Source organism: Homo sapiens, chromosome 9 (assembly GCF_000001405.40).
Source record: "Homo sapiens chromosome 9, GRCh38.p14 Primary Assembly".
NCBI classification, from domain to species: Eukaryota; Metazoa; Chordata; class Mammalia; order Primates; family Hominidae; genus Homo; species Homo sapiens.
The window spans coordinates 96,615,302-96,638,263 of NC_000009.12; the positions used below are offsets into that span (position 1 = coordinate 96,615,302).

Here is a 22,962-nt window from a genome sequence, read left to right on the forward strand (position 1 = left end):
TCCTAGTAAGAGTAAATGCCCAGTATAGTGGTGTGGGTGGCTAGATACTAAACAATAGTGATTATATAACAAATGATGACAGGAACAAAAATAGGGATTAAGCATCCTATATTAAATACACACACACGAAGTATCCTGGGATCTATGGGAATTCAATTTACAGATTAAATAGGCTGCAATAAAAATGTCAAGGGACTAAGTTAAAAAATGATGTATTTAAGGGCAGGGTGGACAGAAGTGACAATATGCATTAATTTTTACAAACCTACTCCACTGTGAAAGAATCTTGTCAATCCAATATTAAGTGCTGGCAAGGATGTGGAATAATTGGTGCATTGCTTGTGGGAACGCTGGCGGCGTAGCCATTCGGAAAAAGAGTCTGACAGTTCCTTAAAACATTAAACGTGGAGATACCATGTGATCCTGCCATTCTACTCCTGGGTGTTATACTGAAAACATGTCCATGCAACAACCTGTATATGAATGTTCACAGCAGCATTATTCCTAATAGCCAAAAAGTCCACTGAGGAATGGATAAAGTCCATATGTACTCTGGCCTGGCGTTTTCACCTCTAGAAATACACTCTATAGATATAGTCACACATATAAACAGACACATACATTGATGCTACTGCAGCCATTTGCAATAGGGACTGGAAAACCCCCAAATAACCAGCTATTTATTACTACTAAATAAATCATGATTTGGCCATATAATGCAGCCATCAAAAGATAACTAATCAGCTGCGGGCGGTGGCTCACGCCTGTAACCCCAGCACTTTGGGAGATCTAGGCTGGGGGGGATCACGAAGTCAGGAGTTCCAGACCAGCCTGGCCAACATAGTGAAACCCCATCTCTACTAAAATTACAAAAATTAGCCGGGCATGGTGGCGTATGCCTGTAGTTCCAACTACTCAGGAAGCTGAGGCAGGAGAATTGCTTGAACCCGGGAGGCAGAGGTTGTGGTGAGCCGAGATAGCTCCACCGCACTCAACCCGGGCAACAGAGCAAGACTCCGTCTCAAAAAAAAAGAGAACTAATCTTGCTGGTATGGCACAATTTCCAGAAACTTGAATGTGCACAGAAAATTGAAGGAGGAAAAACATTACCAAGGGAGGAAGACTCCATAAAACTCATTTGATAGGCTGGGTGAAGGCTCACGCCTGTAATCCCAGCACCTTGGGAGACCAAGGCGGGCGGATCACAAGGTCAGGAGTTTGAGACTAGCCTGGACAACATGGTGAAACACTGTCTCTACTAAAAATACAAAAATTAGCCAGGCATGGTGGCGGGCGCCTGTATTCCCAGCTACTTGGGAGGCTGAGGCAGGAGAATCCCTTGAACCCGGGAGGCAGAGGTTGCAGTGAGCCGAGATTGAGCCACTGCACACCAGCCTGGGCAACAGAGCGAGACTCTGTCTCAAAAAAAAAAAAAAACTCATTTGATAATGTTTGACTTTTTAGAAGTGTGCATGCACTGCTTTTTAAATTAAGAAAACAATAATGGAGGGAAAAACACGTTGAGAAGGAAGGGACCAGTTTGCCACTTGCTGAGGACAGGCCTCAAGCCTTCCCCCAAAAGCCCAATAAAAAGTAATCTGAACTCTGTATCTGAAGATACTTTAATTGGCCTTGTATATCACACTGCAACAGACTGATTAAGTATCATTTTTCCAGGAAGCCAAGACTATCACTGAGGGACACCTAGAGAAGTCACAGGGAAAGGTGACTATAACCTTTACTCCCCTGGAGCTCCCTTACATTAAAGCTGGACCCTTCCGTTATTAGGGCTTGCAATCTGATAGGATTTTTTTTTTTTTTTAGCAGCAGCAAGATTTATTGTGAAGAGCAAAAGAACAAAGCTTCCGCAGCGTGGAAGGGGACCAGAGCGGGTTGCCCTCTGATAGCATTTTTATTTCCTGTAACGCACCCCTCCTCAGTATTCTGCTTGGTTCTATTTTTCTGAAGTTGATTAATTGGTGACTGCCTCACGAAGACTAGCCACATATTTCATCTCCATCAAGAAGAAAGATTTATTCCAATGACTTTGCTGTCACAAACCTTCTGATTGAAAACCCAAATGTTCATCAACAGGGACTGTCTAAATAGGTTAAAAAACATTCAAATCTACATAAACATTTAAATCCATACGTACTTGTTAATGGTTTTATTCATAAAACCGTATGTACATTGGCCTAAGCAGTAATTAAAATCAAGTAAGCCAGTCTTATATGCACCAACTCAGAACAATCATTCTAATAAGAAACACTATGAAAACGGAAAAATGTGCAAAACAACATGTGTGCTACTCGCACGTGTATGGTAGAGAATATATAGTATATATAGTATGCATGCACAGCCTATTTCTAGAAGGCTTCACAAGAAACTGGGAAGAGTAGTTGCCTCTAGAGAAGGACACTTGGAGACTGTGAGACCAACTTTTCTGCACGTACTCCTGTGCACCTTTAGAATTGGAGTTCTGTACCATGTAAATGCATTACTTGTCCTAAAATTAAATCCCATTCAACACAGATCCTTTCAAGAGGTATAAACAATAACGGGCAGAAACTATGTATAGGCCCACCCGTTCCCAGCCCCATCCGTCCTCGGCGAGGCCCTCTCCTGGGAAGGGCACAACGTTAGCGGGACTTGGCTTCTCAGTCTCAGCAGGCTTCACCTCCCGCACACCCCCCGCAGCTACCGGCCGGGGACTGGTACTCAGGGCAACCCCTTCCTATGCCCGCTCTGGTTCCCAAGGGCCATCCACCAAAGCCGAGAAACCCGCTCTGCTCTCAGCTTCATTTCAAAACGAACTTAGTTTCCAGATTGTCCATGAACCTAGAATATTATTTCTCCTAAACGTCTGTGTTTGTCTAAACACTTCCACTTAATGTTCTCGCCACTCCAGCTTACCTGGTTTATCAAAGGCTAGGGGCTGGAAACAGTTTTTAATAACGCCACGCACCGAGGTTGACACATTCCCCGCCACTGAAAACAGACTGCCAATTCCCTCAAAATCGTGGACAGCTCTGCTGTTTACACAGCGTTGCCACATACATCATCACATTTAATGCCTTCACACGCGTCACTGTCAATCCCAGCAAACCTAACAGCTGCCAAATTGGATTTATGAGTCTCCAAGAACAGTCGAATCAGCACTAACAGAACAGCTATCGAAGGGCTGCTTGGCTACCTGCTCTGGCTGGCTGGGATTTCTCAAAAGTGACAACCCGGACATTCGTCTTGCCGGCTGGCTCGAATGCCACCAACGTGACACCTTCCTTCTCGAGGCCCCGGCGGGGAGCGGACCCCGGGAGGCGGAGGCGTTCGGGGGGCGCGCTAGGGGGCAGGGCGCGGGAGGCCCAGGAGAGGGGCTCGGGCTTACGCGCCGGACGGGCAACGCGGCGCCCAGGGTCCCAAGGCTACGGAGCAGCGGGGGTTTGGCCAACGCCAAAAAGGGGCAGCTCCCGTGCCAGGCGCGTTCAGCGCGCTCGGGGAATCCTCAGGGGCTGATTCAGAGGTTGTGACTCGCGCGAGGGCCAACCGGGCTCGCAATCCCTGAAGGCGGAATCCACAGGAACTCAGAAGCAGCCCGCGGGGAGGAGCTGCAGGTTCGAGGCGCCGGGCTGACGCCCGCAACTTAGAAAGGTGACCCTCGGTCCATCTTGCTGGTGGAGGAGGGTGCACAAGCTAAAGTTAAAGCTCGCAGCCCACGCAGCTAGAAACTCGGGGCGGGGGGCGCTCCTCAGGAGCCAGGCTCCTAAAGGGGGTGTGGCGGCCGGGGCGTTTAAGGGGGTGGGGGCGAAGGCATTTCGGCCCGGCCCCGGAGGCCCCGGGCAGCCCGGTGGGAGGTGGGCCAGGGCCCCGCGCCGGGTGCGGCCGTCCGGGGCCCTCCGCGCGCCCACTGGCCGGCTCACCGGTGATGTCCAGGTACACGTCGTCCTGGGGGTCCCGGCGGCGCGGGTCTTGCTGCGTGGAGCTGCGGATCTTCTTCACACCCGGCGAGGTCGACGAGCAGCGCCGCGAGCAGGGGGGCGCGGCGGCCCAGCTCGACCGCCGCTCGCTTTTCCGCTTCATGGAGGCGGCCGCGGCCCGTCAGGGGGCCACGACCATGGCCCCGCGCGCCCGCGCGCCCGCCGAGGCTCCCGCCAGCCCCGCGCGGGCGCTCGGGGCGGCGGGCGCAGAGCGGCGCTGCGGGGACGGCGGGCGCCGGCAGAGCCCGGCGGGAGGCGGTCGCGCAGGAGCCGGAGGAGGAGCCCGGCCCACAGCGCCTGCCCCGCTGCCTCCCGCGGCCGCCGCAGGACCGGCGCCGCAGCCCTCGCTACAGCGCCTCCTGCCGCGGCCGGCGCCCCCAGCCCGCCCCCAGGTGCCCGCAGCCGGCTGGCGCGGCCGAGGCGACGGGGCTGCAGCTGGCGGCCGGAGCTGCCCGGGGTAACCGTGCGTGCCCACCGCGGCCGCGGCCGCTGCTGCGTAGGCGCCGGGGCACAGCAGGACGCGGCTCGTGGGGACCCCAGGAGGGCTGTTCCGTGGCGCTTCATTCACAAAAAAGGGCCCACAACCCTCCTCGGGGCCCGCAGACTGAGGCCTTTCATTGGCCAATGCGGCGTGACGTCACGGAGACGGGGCCTTTCTACAGGCAGGTACTCGGTGACGCCATAAAGAAAACTCTGAGGGCTTCCGCCAATCAGAGATAAAGTGTGCTAGCGACCTTCGCCAGCCCCCCAACTTTTGTTTCTTCTGTGTCCTCCAGGTGCCAGCACCCCAGATCCCAACTTTCTTTAGTGAGTCACCAAACATTTACACAGCCCCACCCTAGTAACTTAACTCCAGGTCTTTGGCATATATATATCTTAAAGTATTTCTTGAATTTCCTTGTAATTCGCGCCAAGAGAAAGGGACTTTTGCCATGGCTGCCAGCTTGGAAGAGGATGGCCTGATTACATTACCTGCAGCTATATAGATTTAAAGTAGAGTTGATTTCAGAACTTAAGTAAAACTATTTAAACAACTACGCTCTATTTATCGACCTATGCCCAGCATTCAAACAGGCCAAGCAAGGGCTTCTTAAGGACCCGATGAAACTTCCGTGGAACCACAATATACCGTGGTTGTTTGCACCTCAGAGTTTCTCATCTCGGAATCCAGCGCCCACATTAATTCAGTAAGTTTATACACTCATTGCTGTGTATACTGAGGTGTCGACAGGTCCGATTATATCATGAAGTATTGAAGCAAGGGGCAAGTTTTGTCCTTAAACTTCTTTATCTGGCACACTGTAGGGTCATATCCTCTTCTTTTTCTACTGGATTAAAATAATGCCCTATCTTCCTGGAACTTAACCAAAAACTGTCATTTTGGAGGGCCTTTAAACAAACGTCCATGGTAGCATCTAAAAGGGTGAGAAGATTGGAGGGCAGTGTTAAGATTTCACGGCCCCAAATTTTACAACATCTGCAAGCTGTCCCTATTTTTCACCAGCACTTGAACGTTTTATCCTGCAGTTCCGCAGTTAACTGCCAGCCTGGGGAAAAGAAAGATGAATTTGAGTCAGTCCCCTTGGAAGCCTCTCAGAAATGCAAATTTTCATAGAGCACCTCAGGAAGGGGCTCTTTGACTTCTATTGTTGTGGGCTTTTACCTTAAGCACGGCTAAATAAGGAAGTAGGGGGGCTGTGTCTGAAGCTAGAGATCAGCAACTCTGTAAGCACTTTTTCTTAAGGTTGGTTCTCCTGTTCACTCTTCCTCTGTTTCCCCTAAGGAAATCAGTGAAGGCCTTAAATTTAAAATGATCTACATGTCTGTCTGTAGGGGCAGCAAAGAAGCTAGAGACGTGGGAGGCTGTGCGGCGCTGCGCAAGTAAGTTTTAGAGAGCAGAAACGGTAGGGTCACAGTCCTTTGTTTTGACCTGGAGGAGGAGGAGGAGACCTTTCAGACCGGCCTAGGGGCTCAGCATTGGAAAGCCACCCAGTTTCCCAGACTACCAGGGATTTTAAATGAGTGGGTCTTGTTTTGAATAGATATTACAGGAGAGTGGTCCGTGTGGCTCCCTGGAAGTACAGAGAAACTACCTCCATGACATTATGATCTTTTGAGAGTAATTTGTTTAAATGTCAGGAGGCAGAGGTTGCAGTGAGCCGAGATCGTGCCATTGCACTCCAGCCTGGGTGACAGAGCTAGACTCCGTCTCAGAAAAAAAAAAAAAAAAGTGTCATAAATACAGATAATTATACCATTTAAATATTTTCATACTTTGCAAGTATATAATTTTATGCTTTGTATAGTAGGAACAGACAAAGTATAGGACTACACTTTGTAATTACGCGAAAGTATCTTCCCTTCTTGTGAATAGGAAGTCTGTGTGCTGAGTATACACATTAAAGTTTTAAACCCTATTTATATTTTGTTTTTAGGTCATGTTTAGATAGAGGCAGAAAAGTGCTGTTTCCTAGCTGATACTTGTTTTGTGTGTGTGGCACTGCTCTTGAACTGTTTGACTCCTCCCCCTCTTTGATAAGTTGACTCCTGGGCTCTGAGAATTTGGCCACAGGAAATGTATTTTAGTTTGCTTCCCTGGTTAGTTTGTTGTTCATTGCTTGACGACTCATCATAGAATTTTAGAGCTTGAAAGCTCCTTAGACAATATTTGGTCCAAGGCTATCCTTTCACAGTGAGGACACGGGGACCCAGATGAGTGGCAGTGGCCAGGCTGGGGTGGGAACCAAAACTCTCTAGGATCTGGCTTGTCTTTTCCTGAACTGTGGCGCTTAGGGAACAGATGCGTCTGGTTGATTCTCAACATTATGGCAGCACAATGAAAAGGAAAAAAAAAAAAAAAAGGAGGGATTCTCTAAAATATTCCTATCTTTCCTAGGTAAATTTACCCTGAAATGAAAACAACTGTGGAACATTTTCTTTTTTTTTCTTTTCTTTTCTTTTTTTTGAGACGAAGTCTCGCTCTGTCGCCCAGACTGGAGTGCAGTGGCGCGATCTCGGCTCACTGCAAGCTCCGCCTCCCGGGTTCACGCCATTCTCCTGCCTCAGCCTCCCAAGTAGCTGGGACTACAGGCGCCTGCCACCACGCCCGGCTAATTTTTTGTATTTTTAGTAGAGACGAGGTTTCACCGTGTTAGCCAGGATAGTTTCGATCTCCTACCTTGTGATCCGCCCTCCTCGGCCTCCCAAAGTGCTGGGATTACAGGCATGAGCCACCGCGCCCGGCGGAACATTTTCTTATATGTATATTCCAGATAGAGCATATTCTGAAAATGTGAAATCTTACGCTAAAATCAGTAGCAACTGGTTGATAGAGACGTGATATGAATTTCAAATAATGTAAGTTTCAGAATCCGTGAATTACAATTTTAATTATGTGAAGATAAATAAGTTGTACAAAGTCAATTTCCATAAGTTGGTTAATTTCATAAAAAGTTAAATTTGATAAATATGGTACGTTCCATAAGAGGTTAAATTTCCATAAAACTAGAGGGCTTAGGTGGCAGTCATATGGGAAAACGGGCACACACTGAAGTCTTCACTTTCATATATAAAAAGAGTTGGTTTTGGCCGGGCGTGGTGGCTCACATCTGTAATCCCCGCACTTTGGGAGGCTGAGGCGGGCAGATCACCTGAGGTCAGGAGTTCAAGACCAGCCTGGTCAACATGGGGAAACCCTGTCTCTATTAAAAATACAAAAATAAGCTGGGCGTGGTGACACGTGCCTGTAATCCCAGCTACTTGGGAGGCTGAGGCAGGAGAATTGCTCCAACCTGGGAAGCGGAGGTTGCAGTGAGCCAAGATCACGCCACTGCCCTCCATCCTGGGCCACAGAGCAAGACTCCGTCTCAAACAAACAAACAAACAAAAAAAGAGTTGGTTTTGTTTCATTGGCTATCCTGGCAATCCCAACATTAATCTGAAGTCTGCCATGTTCATGCCCCTTAAGATGAAAATCTTTTAGAACCATAAAAATGGAAGGAATGAATGTTTGTTGAGCTACCAGCAAATACTAGACATGCTAGGGGCTTCATACTCATGCCCTGTTCCGTGGTATTCTCATTTGAGAGGTCATGGCAGTTACCCTAGGTCACTAAATGAGTTTGGTTTGGAAACCCAGGATACAGAACCACACGTGGCTCGAGTACTGAGGGGCTGGCATCATTCTTCATTGACAAGAGCAGGATCTAAAGGGATCCTGCCTTGCAGGTGGGCTTCTGAAATTAAATAACCTGTATAGTTGTGTAAAATGTCAGAAACTTGGATGAACGCCTTTGGATCTCAGACCACACCGTAATATTGTAGGTTTTTAAAACAATATTTCTGCGGTTGATTTGTTTTTTGGTTATATACACTCCTGCTTTAAAAAATAACTACAATCATGCATCACTTAACGATGGGGATGCTTCTAAGAAATGTGTCATTAGGTTATTTCATCATTGTACAAATATTGTAGAGTGTACTTACACAAACCTAGATGGTATGGTCTACTACATACCTAGGCTGTATGGTAGAGCCAATTTCTCCTAGGCTACAAACAGGTACAGCATGTTACTATACTGAATACTGTAGGTGACTGTAACTGGTAAGTATTCATGTATCTAAACATCATCTAAACATAGAAAAGTTACAGCAAAAATATGGTATTAAAACCTTATGGGACCACTGTCCTGTATGTGGTCTGTTGAATAAAACATTGCTTTGTGGTACATGACTGTAAATAAAATAAATAATAATAATGAAATGCCAGGGGGCAGGGGTAGGGGACGATGAGAATTCTGGTTATTTTAAGTCTTGTGTTCAGAGTATGACTGAAGATGCCTTTACCTGAAAGCCACAGAGGTCTGAGCCTCAAGGGACTGAATGATACCCAAATCTTCCTCAAGAATTACCTTTTTTTTTTTTTTTTTTTTGAGATGGAGTCTTACTCTGTCCCTCAGGCTGGAGTGCAGTGGCACGATCTCATGAGCCACCACGCCCAGCTTGCGTTACTTTTAAAAGACGCTGATAAATTAGCGGGGCGTGGTGGCACGTGACTGTAGTCCCAGCTACTCGGGAGGCCGAGACAGGAGAATCGCTTGAACCCGGGAGGCAGAGGTTGGAGTGAGCAGAGATCGCGCCATTGCACTCCAGCGAGATTCTGTGTCAAAAAAAAAAAAGAAAAAAGAAAAAAAAGAAAAAGAAAGATGCTGACATGCATTCTACATACTGTCAGGTAGTCAGTATGTCTCTAGAGTTGAATTTAATAATATGGGAGAAATGGGAAACAATACTCCACAAGTTCATGCTGTCTTGGCTAAATGCTTCCACCGGTGCTACTGAATGCTGCCTCCTCTCTATTCACCCTCCTCACTATTCGCTTCTCTTTTTCTTTTTTTGAGGGGGGGACAGGGTCTCGCTCTGTCACCCAGGCTGGAGTGCTGTGGTGCGATCTCGGCTCACTGCAACCTCCGCCTCCCAGGTTCAAGCCATTCTCCGACCTCAGCTTCCCGAGTAGCTGGGACTACAGGCACACACCACCATGCCTGGCTGATTTTTTGTATTTTTAGTAGAGACGGGGTTTCACCATGTTGACCAGGCTGGTCTCAGACTCCCGACCTCAGGTGATCCGCCCGCCTCAGCCTCTCAAAGTGCTGGGATTACAAGCTGAGCCACCACGCCCGGACTTCACTTCTTAAATCTAGGTCTTATTTTGTAATTTTACTTCAAAGATTTGTACGTAAGGAATTTTTTTCTCTTTGGTTTTGTCCCACAATAATACATGAACATGTGATTATATTTTTAAAAAATTTAAGTAAAAAACATATATATATGTTTATTTTAAAAGTTCTCCTTTACCTTCCTACCCCAATCCTCCTATGCTCATAGATAACTGCTGCTAATGATCTGTGTTTAGATAAAAACAGATTTTGGGGCCGGGCATGGTGGCTCATTCCTGTAATCCCAGCACTTTGGGAGGCCGAGGCGGGCGGATCACTTGAGGTCGGGAATTTGAGACCAGCCTGACCAACATGGCGAAACCCCGTCTCTATTAAACATACAAAAGTTATCCAGGTGTGGTGGTGGGTGCCTGTAATCCCAACTACTCGGGAGGCCGAGGCAGGAGAATCTATTGAACCTGGGAGGCAGAGGTTGCAATGAGCCAAGATCGCCCCAGTGCACTACAGCCTGGGTGGCAGAGCAAGACTCTATCTCAAAAAAAAAAAAACACACACAAAAAAAAACAGATTTTTAAAAATAAAATGGTTCATACTGGGCATATTGTTCTATGAGCTGCTTTTTTTCACATAATACTGCATTTTTTTTCCAGATTTGTTAATACTGGATCTTGAAAATTTTCCTTTTCAGTCCTTTTGACCAGCCTCATTCATGCTAATGGCTGCAAAGTTTCCCTTGTATCTTTTCCATCATTTCTTTTCCTGTGGATGGATGGTTAAGTTGCATGGGGGCTGGGAGGAAAAGTGCTGTTATGTACCTGCAATGAATACCCTAACATATGGCAATCCACAGGAGGTGGAATTGCTGAATCAAAGATACTCACTTTTTAATTTTTCATTGATACCAACAATATTTAAGGATAGCTGAGCTGATTGGGTGCAGTGGCTCACACCTGTAATCCCAGCACTTTGGGAAGCCAAAGTGGGAGGATGGGTTGAGCCCAGGAGTACCAGACCAGCCTGGGCAAAATAGGAAGACCTTGTCTCAACAAAAAAGAAAAAAATTAGCTGGGTGTGGCCGTGTGCACCTGCAGTCCCAGCTACCCGGGTGGCTGAGGTAGGAAAATAGCTTGGGCCCTGGAGGTCGAGACTGCAGTGAGCTATAATTACCCAACTGCACTCCAGAGCAAGACCCTATCTCAGAACAAAACAAAATAAAAAGGAATCCCATTTTCCCACATCCCTGAAATCACTGGATACAACGTGTTTTTTAAGTTTAAGAATTAAAAAGTCTCACTATTAGTTTCATTGTATTTTCCTGATCACTGGTGAAGTTGAGCATATTATAAAGTTCTCATTAGATGTTTGCAGTATTTTTTCTAAGAATTTTTAATTCATGTCCTTTGCCTGTTTTGTATTTGCTTTCTTTTTTTCGAGTTTTTTCTCCAACTCCCGACCTCAGGTGATCTGCCCGCCTCGGCCTCCCAAAGTGCTGGGATTACAGGCGTGAGCCACCACACCCGGCTGCATTTGATTTTATTTTTGTAGATGTGTGGCAGCTTTTTATATATTATGGATATCGCCCCTTCACCCTTTGCAGATGATGCCTGCATATCTACTCTTTGTCTTGCTGCTCTATTCACGTTGGTTTACAGAAGTTTTATGGTTTTGTTTTGCTTTGCTTTGCTTTTTTGAGGCAGGGTCTTGCTCCATCACCCAGGCTGGAGTGCAGTGGTACAATCATGGCTCACTGTAGCCTGGACCTCCTGGACTTAAGTGGCCCTCCTGCCTCAGCCTCCTGAAGTAGCTGGGACTATAGGCCCATGCCACCACACCCCGCTATTTTTTTTTATTTTAATTTTTTGTAGAGATGAGGTTTCACTATGTTACCCAAGCTGGTCTTGAACTCCTGAGCTCAGGCAGTCTTCCTCCCTTGGCCTCCCAAAGTGCTGGGATTACAGGCATGAGCAACCGAGCCTAGCCAGTTTTATCTATTTTAATGTCAAATACATTTTACCAATTTTTAAGGCTTCTAGGAATGATATATATTGTATTTTAATATTTTTCTTTTCCAACAATACTCAAAATATGGCTATCACCACCTTACACTAGACGTCAAACTTTGCCTCATTAGAGTGAGTCAGCATGATATTATGCTTCCTGGATGGTGCAGTGGTGGTTCACACCTGTAGTCCCAACACTTGGGGAGGCCGAGGAGGGTGGATCGCTTGAGGACAGGAGTTCGGACCAGCCTGGGCCACATGGTGAAACCCCTTCTCTACAAAAAATACAAAAATTATCCAGGCATGGTGTTGTGTGCCTATAGTACCAGTGACTCCAGAGGCTGAGGCAAGAGAATCGCTTGAACCTGGGAGGCGGAGGTTGTAGTGAGCTGAGATTGCACTACTGCACTCCAGCCTGGGGAACAGAGCGAGACTCAGTCTAAAAGAAAAAAAAAAGAGAGAGAGGTATGATGCTTCCTGATGCAAGGCAACATGATATACCCTGGATTACCTATAAAGTAGTGTTCTATCCAAAATGTTTATCCTGAATTGAATCAAGCCTTGAGATCTAACTTCGGTTTACAGGAAATATAGGGGGTGGAAGAACATGTTAAATGACTCATAAGGAAACAATCTGACAAATCTTGAATGTGGGATTTTCTATAAACTGTCTCTTTAACAAGTAAATGTCATGGAAAAAAATTTGTCCAAGTGGGTGAGGGGACTTGTGATAGATAAACAGAAGCTGGGCGTGGTGGCTCACGCCTGTAATCCCAGCAAGCCAAGCGCTGTGGCTCATGCCTGTAATCCCAGCACTTTGGGAGGCTGAGGCAGGCGGATCACCTGAGGTTGGGCGTTCGAGACCAGCCTGACCAACATGGTGAAACTCCATCTCTACTAAAAATACAAAAATTAGCCATGCGTGGTGGCCGGCACCTGTAGTCCCAGCTACACGGGAGGGTGAGGCAGGAGAATTGCTTGAACCTGGGAGGCGGAGGTTGCAGTGAGCTGAGATCGGGCCACTGCACTCCAGCCTGGGCAACAGAGCGAGACTCGGTCTCAAAAAAAAAAAAAAAAAAAAACCATAAAGAGGTATAACAGTCTGGGTGCGGAGGCTCATGCCTGTAATCCCAGCACTTTGGGAGGCAGAGGCTGTGGATCACGTGAGGCCAGGAGTTCCTGGCCAACATGGTGAAAACCCGTCTACTAAAATTACAAAAATTTGGCTAGGCACAGTGGCTCACACCTGTAATCCCAACACTTTGGGAGGTCGAGGCGGGCGGATCACGAGGTCAGGAGATCAAGACCAGCCTGGCCAATATGATGAAACCTCGTCTCTACTAAAGATACAAAAAATTAACCGGGCGTGGTGGTCTGCGCCTGTAATTCCATCTACTTGGGAGGCTGAGGCAGGAGAATCGCTTGAACCCGGGAGGTGGAGATTGCAGTGAGCTGAGATCACACCACTGCACTCCAGCCTAGGCAACAGAGCGAGACTCCGTCTCAAAAAAAAAAAAAAAGGAGGTATAATTAACATGCAAAAGCAAAGATCTTCAGTGTTAGTTCAATGAGTTTTAAAAATATATACACCTGTATAACCACCGTCCAAAAAGAAGATATAGGAGCAACAGGACTTTTAAAAAAAAAAGCCATCCTTGCAAAGCTAAGGATGGTTTCCTGGTCAGCCCTCTCTCCTGACTATCTCTTGCTGCATCCTCTCTTCTTGTTGCTCTCACTGCTCTCCATCTCTCTCACTGCTCTCCATCTCTCTCACATCTCTCCATCTCTCTCATGTCTCTCCGACTGTCTCGCATCTCTCCATCTCTCTCACCGCTCTCCATCTCTCTTGCCGCTCTCCATCTCTCTGGCATCTCTCCCTCTCTCTTACATCTCTCCATCTCTTTCGCCGCTGTCAAGTCTCTGACACCTGTTTGGCACCAGACCTCGGCTCCGGAAACACCTCTGGCTTGCTTACTCTGACCAAGTTGGACAGGCTCTGCTGGCTGGAGTCTCGGTCCTCTTCTTCAGACAGAACTTGGCTGTTCTCTCTTGGGCTCTGCAACATTTGCTACAAATCCAAGTTGTCCCTGCCTTTGGCCCCCGCTGCCAGGCTCACCCCCCAGGTCTCCTCCCTCAGGGGAATGGGAAAGACAGCAGAGAGCCTGCTTCACAGTCATAATCAATGGAGATCATCAGGTAATCCGAGGTAGCTAACAGCCTCCTTTATCCTCTACACGGTTTTCTTTCCAATCATTGCAGGACAAGAAAGACATCCTTGTCTGACTCTCCCCTTATCCACACAATTAGAAGTGAATTAAAGGCATCAATTTCAAGTCACTTCTGTAGTTGTGGAAGGGTGAAGGCAATTTATTTTTTATCTCCTGTTGTGGCTGGAAAGAAAACTTCTTGCAATGACTTTTCTGGTTTTGGAAGAGAACCAGCAACCAATTCTAAAATATCGGGTGATTTTTCTTTTTGTTACAAATTCTTCCGAATGTGATGAAATCCTAGCGCACTGGGTTCCCACTCAACCAGAGTTCTCCTTAGGAAAAAGGAGATCAGGAATGACCAAAATGCACAGATCTATAGTTTTGCATTCTCATATGGTGGGAAGTTTTTCTCTATTCATGATTTTTTTTTTCTCTTCAGTGATACCAGAGCATACATTTGGGCAGATTAGGTTGGATTCTCTATTAAGTTCCTCTTTCCATTTTTAAATGCAGATTCAAATGAGCAGTGAATTATTTTATCCAAAGTTAGGGGCTATATAAAATAAAAAAAATGAAGAAGGCTGAAATGGCCCCTTATATAGGCAGTCAGCTTCTAGAAATAGAAGCAAATGAATATTTAACAATACTTAAAGAAAGGCAATTTGTTTTCACATTTATATATTAATTATTTTAGTTTGTGCGTTATTAAATATTACATACCTTTTGGGAGGTTGAGGTTGGAAGATCGTTTGAGCCCAGGAATTTGAGACCAACCTGGGCAACATAGCAAAACCCCATCTCTACAAAAAAATTTTAAAAATTAGCCCAGCATGGTGGTGTCCACCTGTAGTCTCAGCTCCTTGGGAGGCTGACGTGGGAGGAACGCTTGAGCCCTGGAGGTTGAGGCTACAGTGAGCCATGATCACCTCACTGCACCCCAGCCTGGGCCACAGAGTGAGACTCTATCGGGATGCCGAGGTGGGCAGACCACCTGAGATCAGGAGTTCAAGACCAGCCTGGCCAACATGGGGAAAACACATCTCTATTAAAAATACAAAATTAGCTGAACCCAGGAGGCGGAGGTTCCGTTGAGTCAAGATCACACCACTGCACTCCAGCCTGGGTGACAGAGCGAGACTCTGTCTCAAAAAAAAAAAAAAAATCTGGGTGTGGTAGTACACACCTATAGTCCCAGCAGCTTGGTAGGCTGACGTGGGAAGATTGCTTGAGCCCAGAAGTTCAAGGCTGCAGTTCAAAAGGCTTGAGCCTTCAGATTGCTTGAGTCCAGGAGTTCAAGGCTATGATTGTGTCACTTCACTCTGTCCTGGGCAACAGAGGGAGACCCCTGTCTTTAAAATAAATAAGTAAATGAATAAATACACATTATATGAAAAAGTCATGCATCTGACTTAAATCTAGCTGCCAAAATAACTTTTTTTTTTTCTTTCCTGAGATGGAGTCTCACTCTGTTGCCCAGGCTGGGGTGCAGTGGTGCGTTCTCCGCTCACTGCAAGCTCCGCCTCTGGGTTCACGCCATTCTCCCGCCTCAGCCTCCCGAGTAGCTGAGACTACAGGCACTTGCCACCACACCCGGCTAATTTTTTGTATTTTTAGTAGAGAAGGGGTTTCACTGTGTTAGCCAGGATGGTCTCGATCTCCTGACCTTGTGATCTGCCCACCCAGGCCTCCCAAAGTGCTGGGATTACAGGTGTGAGCCACCACGCCTGGCCGGTCACAGGTCTCTCTACCAGAATGTCTCCGGTGCTATATTTTACTTTCCAAATTATACAGCATTCATCATTTTTTCCAATACATTTTTAAAGCATTTGCTTTTGTTTCATTTTCTTACTGTGTGGCAAATTATTAATTCACATGAAGTCTTTGTACTTGCCGATATAGACAAGAGCAACAAATATCAAAATCTGAGCTTTCAATTTAGGAAAATAAAGTGGAAAGCCCACTGGATTCAGCAAAAAGTAGGATTAATGTTATGCTTATGAGACATGGATACACATTGCTTAGAAATATGAAGCTATTCCTTATTTACATAAAGTCAGTAAATATGTTCACATTTGACTTACTTTTTTTGGAGGGGGATCATATATGGAGTGGTCTCACTCTGTCACCCAGGCTGGAGTGCAGTGGTGCCATTCCAGTTCACTGCGGCCTTGACTTCCAGAGCTCAAGTGATCCTCCCACCTCCACCTCCTGAGTAGCTGGGACCACAGGTGTGCATGCCACCACGCCCGGCTAATTTGTTTTTTTGTTTGTTTGTTTGTTTTTGTATTGAGATGGAATCTCACTCTGTCACCCAGGCTGGAGTGCAGTGGCACAGTCTTGGCTCATCGTAACCTCCGCCTCCTGGGTTCAAGTAATTCTCCTGCCTTAGCTTCCCAAGTAGCTGGGATTACAGGTGCCCACCACCACGCCTGGCTAATTTTTGTAGTTTCATAGAGACAAGGTTTCACCATGTTGGCCAGGCTAGTCTTGAACTCCTGACATCAAGTGATCCTCATGCCTTGGCCTCCCAAAGTGCTGGGATGGGGTTTTTCCATGTTGCCCAGGCTAGTTTTGAACTCCTGGGCTCAAGAGGTCCTCCTGCCTGGACCTCCCAAATTGTTAGGACTACAGGCATGAGTCACCCCACTCAGCCACATTTGGCATTTTAAATCCTTAGGCATCAAAATCCAGAAAATGTTAGTGATTACAGGCTGCTCTTAGAGTAAAGTTAAATAACAGTGTTCTGTAATGATTTCTAAAGAAACCTTAAAAATATTTTACTTACCTATTTTTAAAAATGGCATTGTAAGAAGATTGGCATAATATTTAAAATCATTTTCTAGAAACAAGTTTTACTTCCATAAGAGCTTTGATCAAATACCTCCTCATGATGAATAAGGCTAATTACACTTATGGTCTATGTGAGCTGCTTTAAAAAATTATATGCAAGCCTTCTTTGAACACTTCCATCCATGATCCCTCCAAGACCTTCAAATTTGCTGTGAGATTTACTGCACTGTGCAAAGGACAGTTTATCATCCCTGCCCTCTTTTGTTACCTACCCTGACGTTCTTCCTGCCCTCCCCAAATAGCTCCTGAATGATTAAAGGCAGAAATTCTGCCTTATCTGTCCTTTAAATCTCCCAGGGTATCAACACATATAAGCACTTGAAACCATCTTTTCCTTATCAGACCACATCACCTGTAGGGCAATACTACAGCACAAATCTCGAACAAGAAACGCTACTGGCCAGGTGCGGTGGCTCACACCTGTAATCCCAGCACTTTGGGAGGCCAAGGCAGGCAGATCACGAGGTCAGGAGGTCGAGACCATCCTGGCTAACACGGTGAAACCTGTCTCTACTAAAAATACAAAAAATTAGCCGAGCGTGGTGGCAGGCGCCTGTAATCCCAGCTACTCGGGAGGCTGAGGCAGGAGAATGGCGTGAACCCGGGAGGCGGAGCTTGCAGTGAGCCGAGATTGCACCACTGCACTCCAGCCTGGGCAACAGAGCAAGACTCCGTCTCAAAAATAAATAAATAAATAAAAAATAATAAATAAATAAATAAATAAAGACGCTACTGTAGCACTCTGGGTGCGAACTGAAAGGAGAGCTTAGTAAAGCTGCATGTTCTTTTTTTGCTTGTTTGCTTTTAAAAGACAGGGTCTCACTCTGTCACCCAGGCTGGAGTGGAGTCCTCCTGCCTCAGCCTCCCGAGTAGCTGGGACTACAGGTGCACCACAACACCTGGCCAATTTTTTTTTTTTTTTTATAGAAACAGGATCTTGCTACATAGTCCAGGCTGGTCTTGAACTCCTGGACTCAAGCAATTCTGCCTTTGCCTCCCAAAGTGCTGGGACTACAGGCGTGAGCCTTTGCACCCAGCCTTATTTTAACCTTTCAAAGATTTTAAAAGCCTGTCGATTTGAATCCTTTCCCTACAGTAAACTGTAACTGTGAGTATAACAGCTCTTAGCATGTTCTGTGAGTCCTTCTAGCAAATTATCAAACCTGAGTGTGGTTTTGGAAACCATCTGTAGTTGGTGTCAGAAATGAGGGTGGGTTGTGCATTGTACCCTCTAACTTTGCAATGTTTTGTCTGTATTGCCCATTTATCCTATTATGTTGTCTTGTTTTAAAAAATTGACTTGTAGACATTCCGATATATTTTTGGTATTAATCTTTTTTGTAGTTATGTGCATTATATATATATAATGCATATATAAATGCATTATATATATGCATATATATATATGCTGGGCATGGTGGTTCACACCTGTAATCTCAGCACTTTGGGAGCCCGAGGCAGGCAGATCACCTGAGGTCAGGAGTTCAAGACCAGCCTGACCAACATGGTGAAACCCCATCTCTACTAAAAATTACAAAAATTAGCAGGATGTGGTGGCTGGCGCCTGTAATCCCACCTACTGTGGAGGCTGAGGCAGGAGAGTTGCTTGAACCCGGGAGGTGGAGGTTGCAGTGAGCCAAGATCATGCCACTGTGCTCCAGCCTGGGCAACAGAGCAAGACTCCATCTCAAAAAATGAAACCCCAAACATACACACACACACACACACACACACACACACGCGCACGCGCGTCTCCCTTTGTTGCCCCAGGCTGGAGTGCAGTGATACGATCACAGCTCACTGTAGCCTCACTTCCAGGCTTCAGGCTTCAGGCAGTCTTCCTGCCTCAGCTTCCCGAGTAGCTGGGATTATAGGTATGTACCACCATGCCCAACCATGTGAATTTTTAAGTTGAATTTAGAGTAGCATTCACAATAATGTCAGATGTTTCACCTTTGAGAGAATACGCTTCCAAACATTTTGCTTTGACTTTGTAAACTGGATGAGAAAAGGTAACTATTAGCTCCTTTTTTAAAAAGAAATGAATGTAATCAAATTCTCTATTTAAAGCATTTGGTAATACTGACATAAAACTGGCAGCCTGTAACTTTTTTCAGAAGTTTCTAACAGAACCAGTATAGGAACAGCTACTACACTTCATTTTTAGTATGTCCATAAGAAAACTTGACTTGAAAAAGATTGGAATTAATTAGAAAAACCTCTTTGGCTTGGCACAGTGGCTCACACCTGTGATCCCAGCACTTTGGGAGGCCGAGGTGAGCAGATCCCTTTAAGGTCAGGAGTTTGAGACCAGCCTGGCCAACATGGTAGAATCCCATCTATACTAAAAATACAAAAATTAGCCGGGTGTGGTGGCACACACCTGTAATCCCAGCTACTTGGGCGGCTGAAGCATGAGAATTGCTTGAACCCAGGAGGTGAGGTTGCAGTGAGCCGAGATTGCACCACTGCACTCCAGCCTGGGCAACAGAGTGAGAAAAGCAAACAAAAAACAAAACAAAAAAAAACCTCCTTGATTTAAATGAAAAATCATTCTTCACAGAATGATGTGTCTATGTACATTCTTCAACTTCATATCTTAAATTACCTTCTGGAACACTCTTTTTAAAATAGCCATTAACTTTGAAGTAAATGATGTTACTTCTTCGGAAAATGTGTCTTCCAGTTTTCATGTAGTCAGTGATACCTCTTTGCCCCCCATTGTAAATGGTAATGTGAACAAACATTTTATGCAGGTTGCTAGTGTATCATCAGTTTTCTTGAAAAACAACAAAATATTTGATTTTAAAAATGAAACCATGCATTTTCATTTTATTGAAATTCTTGTTTCCATAGCAGTTCATCACACAAGCCATACAATGAATTTCCTCACTAGATTCCTTGGATGTGGATGGATTTGACCTTATTCTTACAAGGTTTTAGCCCTTCAAAAGTTTCCAGTCTCAGGCACAGGTCTTAGGTCCTACTTTACTCTAGAGCCTTAGTTTTAATTCTCTACTGTCCCAGACCTTTGAATTGGCCAAAGAATAACCTTCTCTAATTCCTGGGATGAATTCCTGCTCTGCAGTGCAGTCCATGGCTTCCAAGCATGCTCTTCAGCCTAGCTTCTGCTCGCTTTCGGCCCTAGTGGCATTTCTTCACTTTGTTGTAAGCTCAGCTTGAAAAAAGTTGTTGCTTCTTCTCTGCAAAATGGTGATGGTGATGATAACAATATCAGTTCCATAGAGTTAATGTATGTAAAGCACTTGGAATAGTACCTAACAAATCATTACCACCATAAAATGTTTGATGATATTATTTATTTTTATCCAATGTCTCCATGTATTTGTGAGAGAGGTTCTTCAGAATTTCAAGTCCAGTATATGACTGGATATGGAAGTATGTTTATAAAGTTAACAGTACATGTTATAGGTAATTTTATATTTAAAAAATGTGTTTGGGTAGGCAATTTGCCATTGCACTACACTTATGTACCTGTACCTCCCTGAAGCCACATAAAGAACATGTATTTATCTTAGAAAAATGTGGTGCACATTTATAAATACAATTGACCCTTAAACAATGTTGGGGGTAGGGGTGCCAATCCCTTACACAGTCAAAAATCTGCATATAGCTTTGGGCCTCCCAAAAACTTAACTAGTAATAGTCTATTTTTGACCAGAAGCCTTACCAATAACATAAACTGTCAATAACATATTTTATATGTGATATTTATTACATACTTATATTCTTACAATAAAGTAAGCTAGAGAAAAGAAAATGCTATTATGAAAATCACAAGGAAGAGAAAATATATTTTCTATTCATTAAGTGGAAGCAGAGCATCATAAAGGTCTTCATTTTCTTTTTTTTTCCTTGTGACAGTTTTGCTCTGTCACCCAGGCTGGAGTGCAATGGCGTGATCTCAGCTTACTGCAACCCCTGCCTCCCTGGTTCAAGCCATTATCTTGCCTCAGCCTCCCAAGCAGCTGGGATTACAGCTGTGTGCCACCAAACCCAGCTAATTTTTGTATTCTTAGTAGAGACAGGGTTTTGCCTGTTGGCCAGGCTGGTCTCAAACTCCTGGCCTCAAGTGATCTGCCTGCCTCAGGCTTCCAAAGTGCTGGGATTACAGGCGTGAGCTGCCATGCCCCACTGAGATTTTTTTTTCTTTGATTCATGTGTTATTTAGAAGTATGTTTTTAATCTCCAAGTATTTGGGGATTTTTCCAGTTATTGCTTTTGAGTATAATTCCGTTGTGGTCTGGGAGCAGGCATGCTATGAGTTCTATTATTTTACATTTGTTAAGGTGTGTTTTAGGGTACAGAATGCAGTCTATCTTGGTGCATGTTGCATGTGAGCTTGAGAAGAATGTGTGCTATTCTGCTATTGGATGAAGTAATCTGGAAATGTCAATTATATCCAGTTTAGTGATGGTGCTGTTGAGTTCAACTATGTGCTTACTGATTTTCTGCCTGCTGGACCTATCCATTTCTGATAGAGGGGTGTTGAAATCTCCACCTATAACAGTGGATTCATCTATTTCTCTTTGCAGTTCTATCAGGTTTTACTTTGTTGTCAGGAACATACACATCGAGAATTACTATGTCTTCAGTAGGAACTGACTCCTGACCCCTTCATCCTTATGTAATAGCTCCCTTCATCCCTGATAACTTTCCTTGCTCTGAACTTAGCTTTGTCTGAGAGCACTATAACTATTCCCACTTTCTTTTTATTTGTGTTAGCACATTAAATCTTTCTCCATTCATATACTTTTTTTTTTTGAGACAGAGTTTCGCTCTTATTGGCTAGGCTGGAGTGCAATGGCACGATCTCGGCTCACTGCAACCTCCGCCTCCCGGGTTCAAGCGATTCTCTGGCCTCAGCCTCCTGAGTAGCTAGGGTTACAGGCACCCGCCACCATGCCCAGCTAATTTTTTGTATTTGTAGTAGAAATAGGGTTTCACCATGAGCCACCGTGCCCGGCAATAACAAAATATTTCTAATTCCCTCATCTTGTCTCTTGTATCTTTGCTGTTATTCATTTATATGTAAGTGTCATTCACTTATATATAAGCATATGTAAGCATATCTATATATAAATATATATACATACATAAGCACACATAAACACACATACATTGTTGGTATTATTATTTTGAACTGTTATCTGTAAGATCAACTAAGAATAAGAAAAATAAGGCCAGGCGTGGTAGCTTACCCCTGTAATCCCAGCATTTTGGGAGGCAGAGGTGGGCAGATCACCTGAGGTCAGGAGTTCGAGACCAGCCTGGCAAACATGGTGAAACCCTGTCTCTACTAAAAATACAAAAATTAGCCAGTTTTGGTGGCAGTCACCTGTAATACCAGCTACTCAGGAGGTTGAGGCAGGGGAATCGCCTGAATCTGGGAGAAGGAGGTTGCAGTGAGCCAAGATCGCGCCATTGCACTCCAGCCTGGGTGACAAGAGGAAAACTCTGTCTCAAAAAAAAAAAAGAAAAAGAAAAGTATTTTACCTTCACTCACTTATTTTCCAATGCCCTTCCTTTTTTTAATGTAGATCTGAGTTTCTAATCTGTATCACTTTCCTTCTTTCTGAGAAACTTCTTTTAAATTTCTTGCATGACAGGTCTACTGGCAACAATGTCCCTCATTTTTTGTCTGAAGAATGTCTTTAGTTATCCTTCACAGGATAATTTTTTTCCTCCTGTTAGAAAGTTATTGAAGGATAATTTTGCAGAGTACTGAATTCTAGATTGGTGACTTTCCTCTTAACAGTTTAAATATTTCACTCCACTCTCTTCTTGCTTGCATGGTTTCTGAGGGGAAGTTGGATGTAATTCTTATTTTTGCTCTTCTATAGGTAAGGTGGTTTATTTCCCTCTGCCTTCTTTCAAATTTTCTTTTCTTTTTTTTTTTTTTGATACAGAGTCTCATGCTGTCACTCAGGCTGGAGTGCAGTGGTGCAATCTTGGCTCCTTGCAACCTCTGCCTCCGGGTTCAAGTGATTCTCGTGTCTCACCCTCAAGTAGTGGGGATTACAGGAACACACCACCGTGCCCAACTAAGTTTTGTATTTTTGATAGAGATGGGGTTTCACCATGTTGGCCAAGCTGGCCAAGCTGATCACCCCTGACCTCAGGTGATCTGTTCGCCTCAGCCTCCCAAAGTGCTGGAATTACAGGCATGTGCCACCACACCCAGCTAATTTTTGTATTTTTAGTAGAAATGTGGTTTTACCATGTTGGC

The 22,962-nt window shown here is 45.1% G+C and overlaps 1 protein-coding gene across 14 annotated transcripts in view, besides 1 other annotated feature; it reads right to left on the bottom strand.

The window, feature by feature from the left end:
• CDC14B (cell division cycle 14B) overlaps positions 1–4,542 on the bottom strand; it is a 128,905-nt gene extending 124,363 nt beyond the window's left edge. For 12 of the 14 annotated variants that reach the window (NR_147239.2, XM_047423999.1, XM_017015248.3 and 9 more), the window contains exon 1: positions 3,918–4,542. Coding sequence is in view for 10 of the 14 variants with exons in the window: in XM_047423999.1 (XP_047279955.1) it covers positions 3,918–4,077 (160 nt within the window). In the remaining 4 variants the exon portion in view is untranslated. Of the gene's footprint in view, positions 1–2,913; positions 3,644–3,917 lie in introns of those variants that run through there. The other 2 variants (XM_011519156.4, XM_017015245.2) reach the window with 1 other exon arrangement.
• Positions 3,693–4,193: an enhancer, noted in NCBI's record as "H3K27ac hESC enhancer chr9:99381276-99381776 (GRCh37/hg19 assembly coordinates)". NCBI's record gives its function as "activates a minimal SCP1, AML or CMV promoter by ChIP-STARR-seq in naive and primed H9 embryonic stem cells {active_cell/tissue: H9 hESC(naive and primed)}" and the evidence as "EXISTENCE:reporter gene assay evidence [ECO:0000049][PMID:30033119]".
• Positions 4,543–22,962: the final 18,420 nt, after the last annotated feature.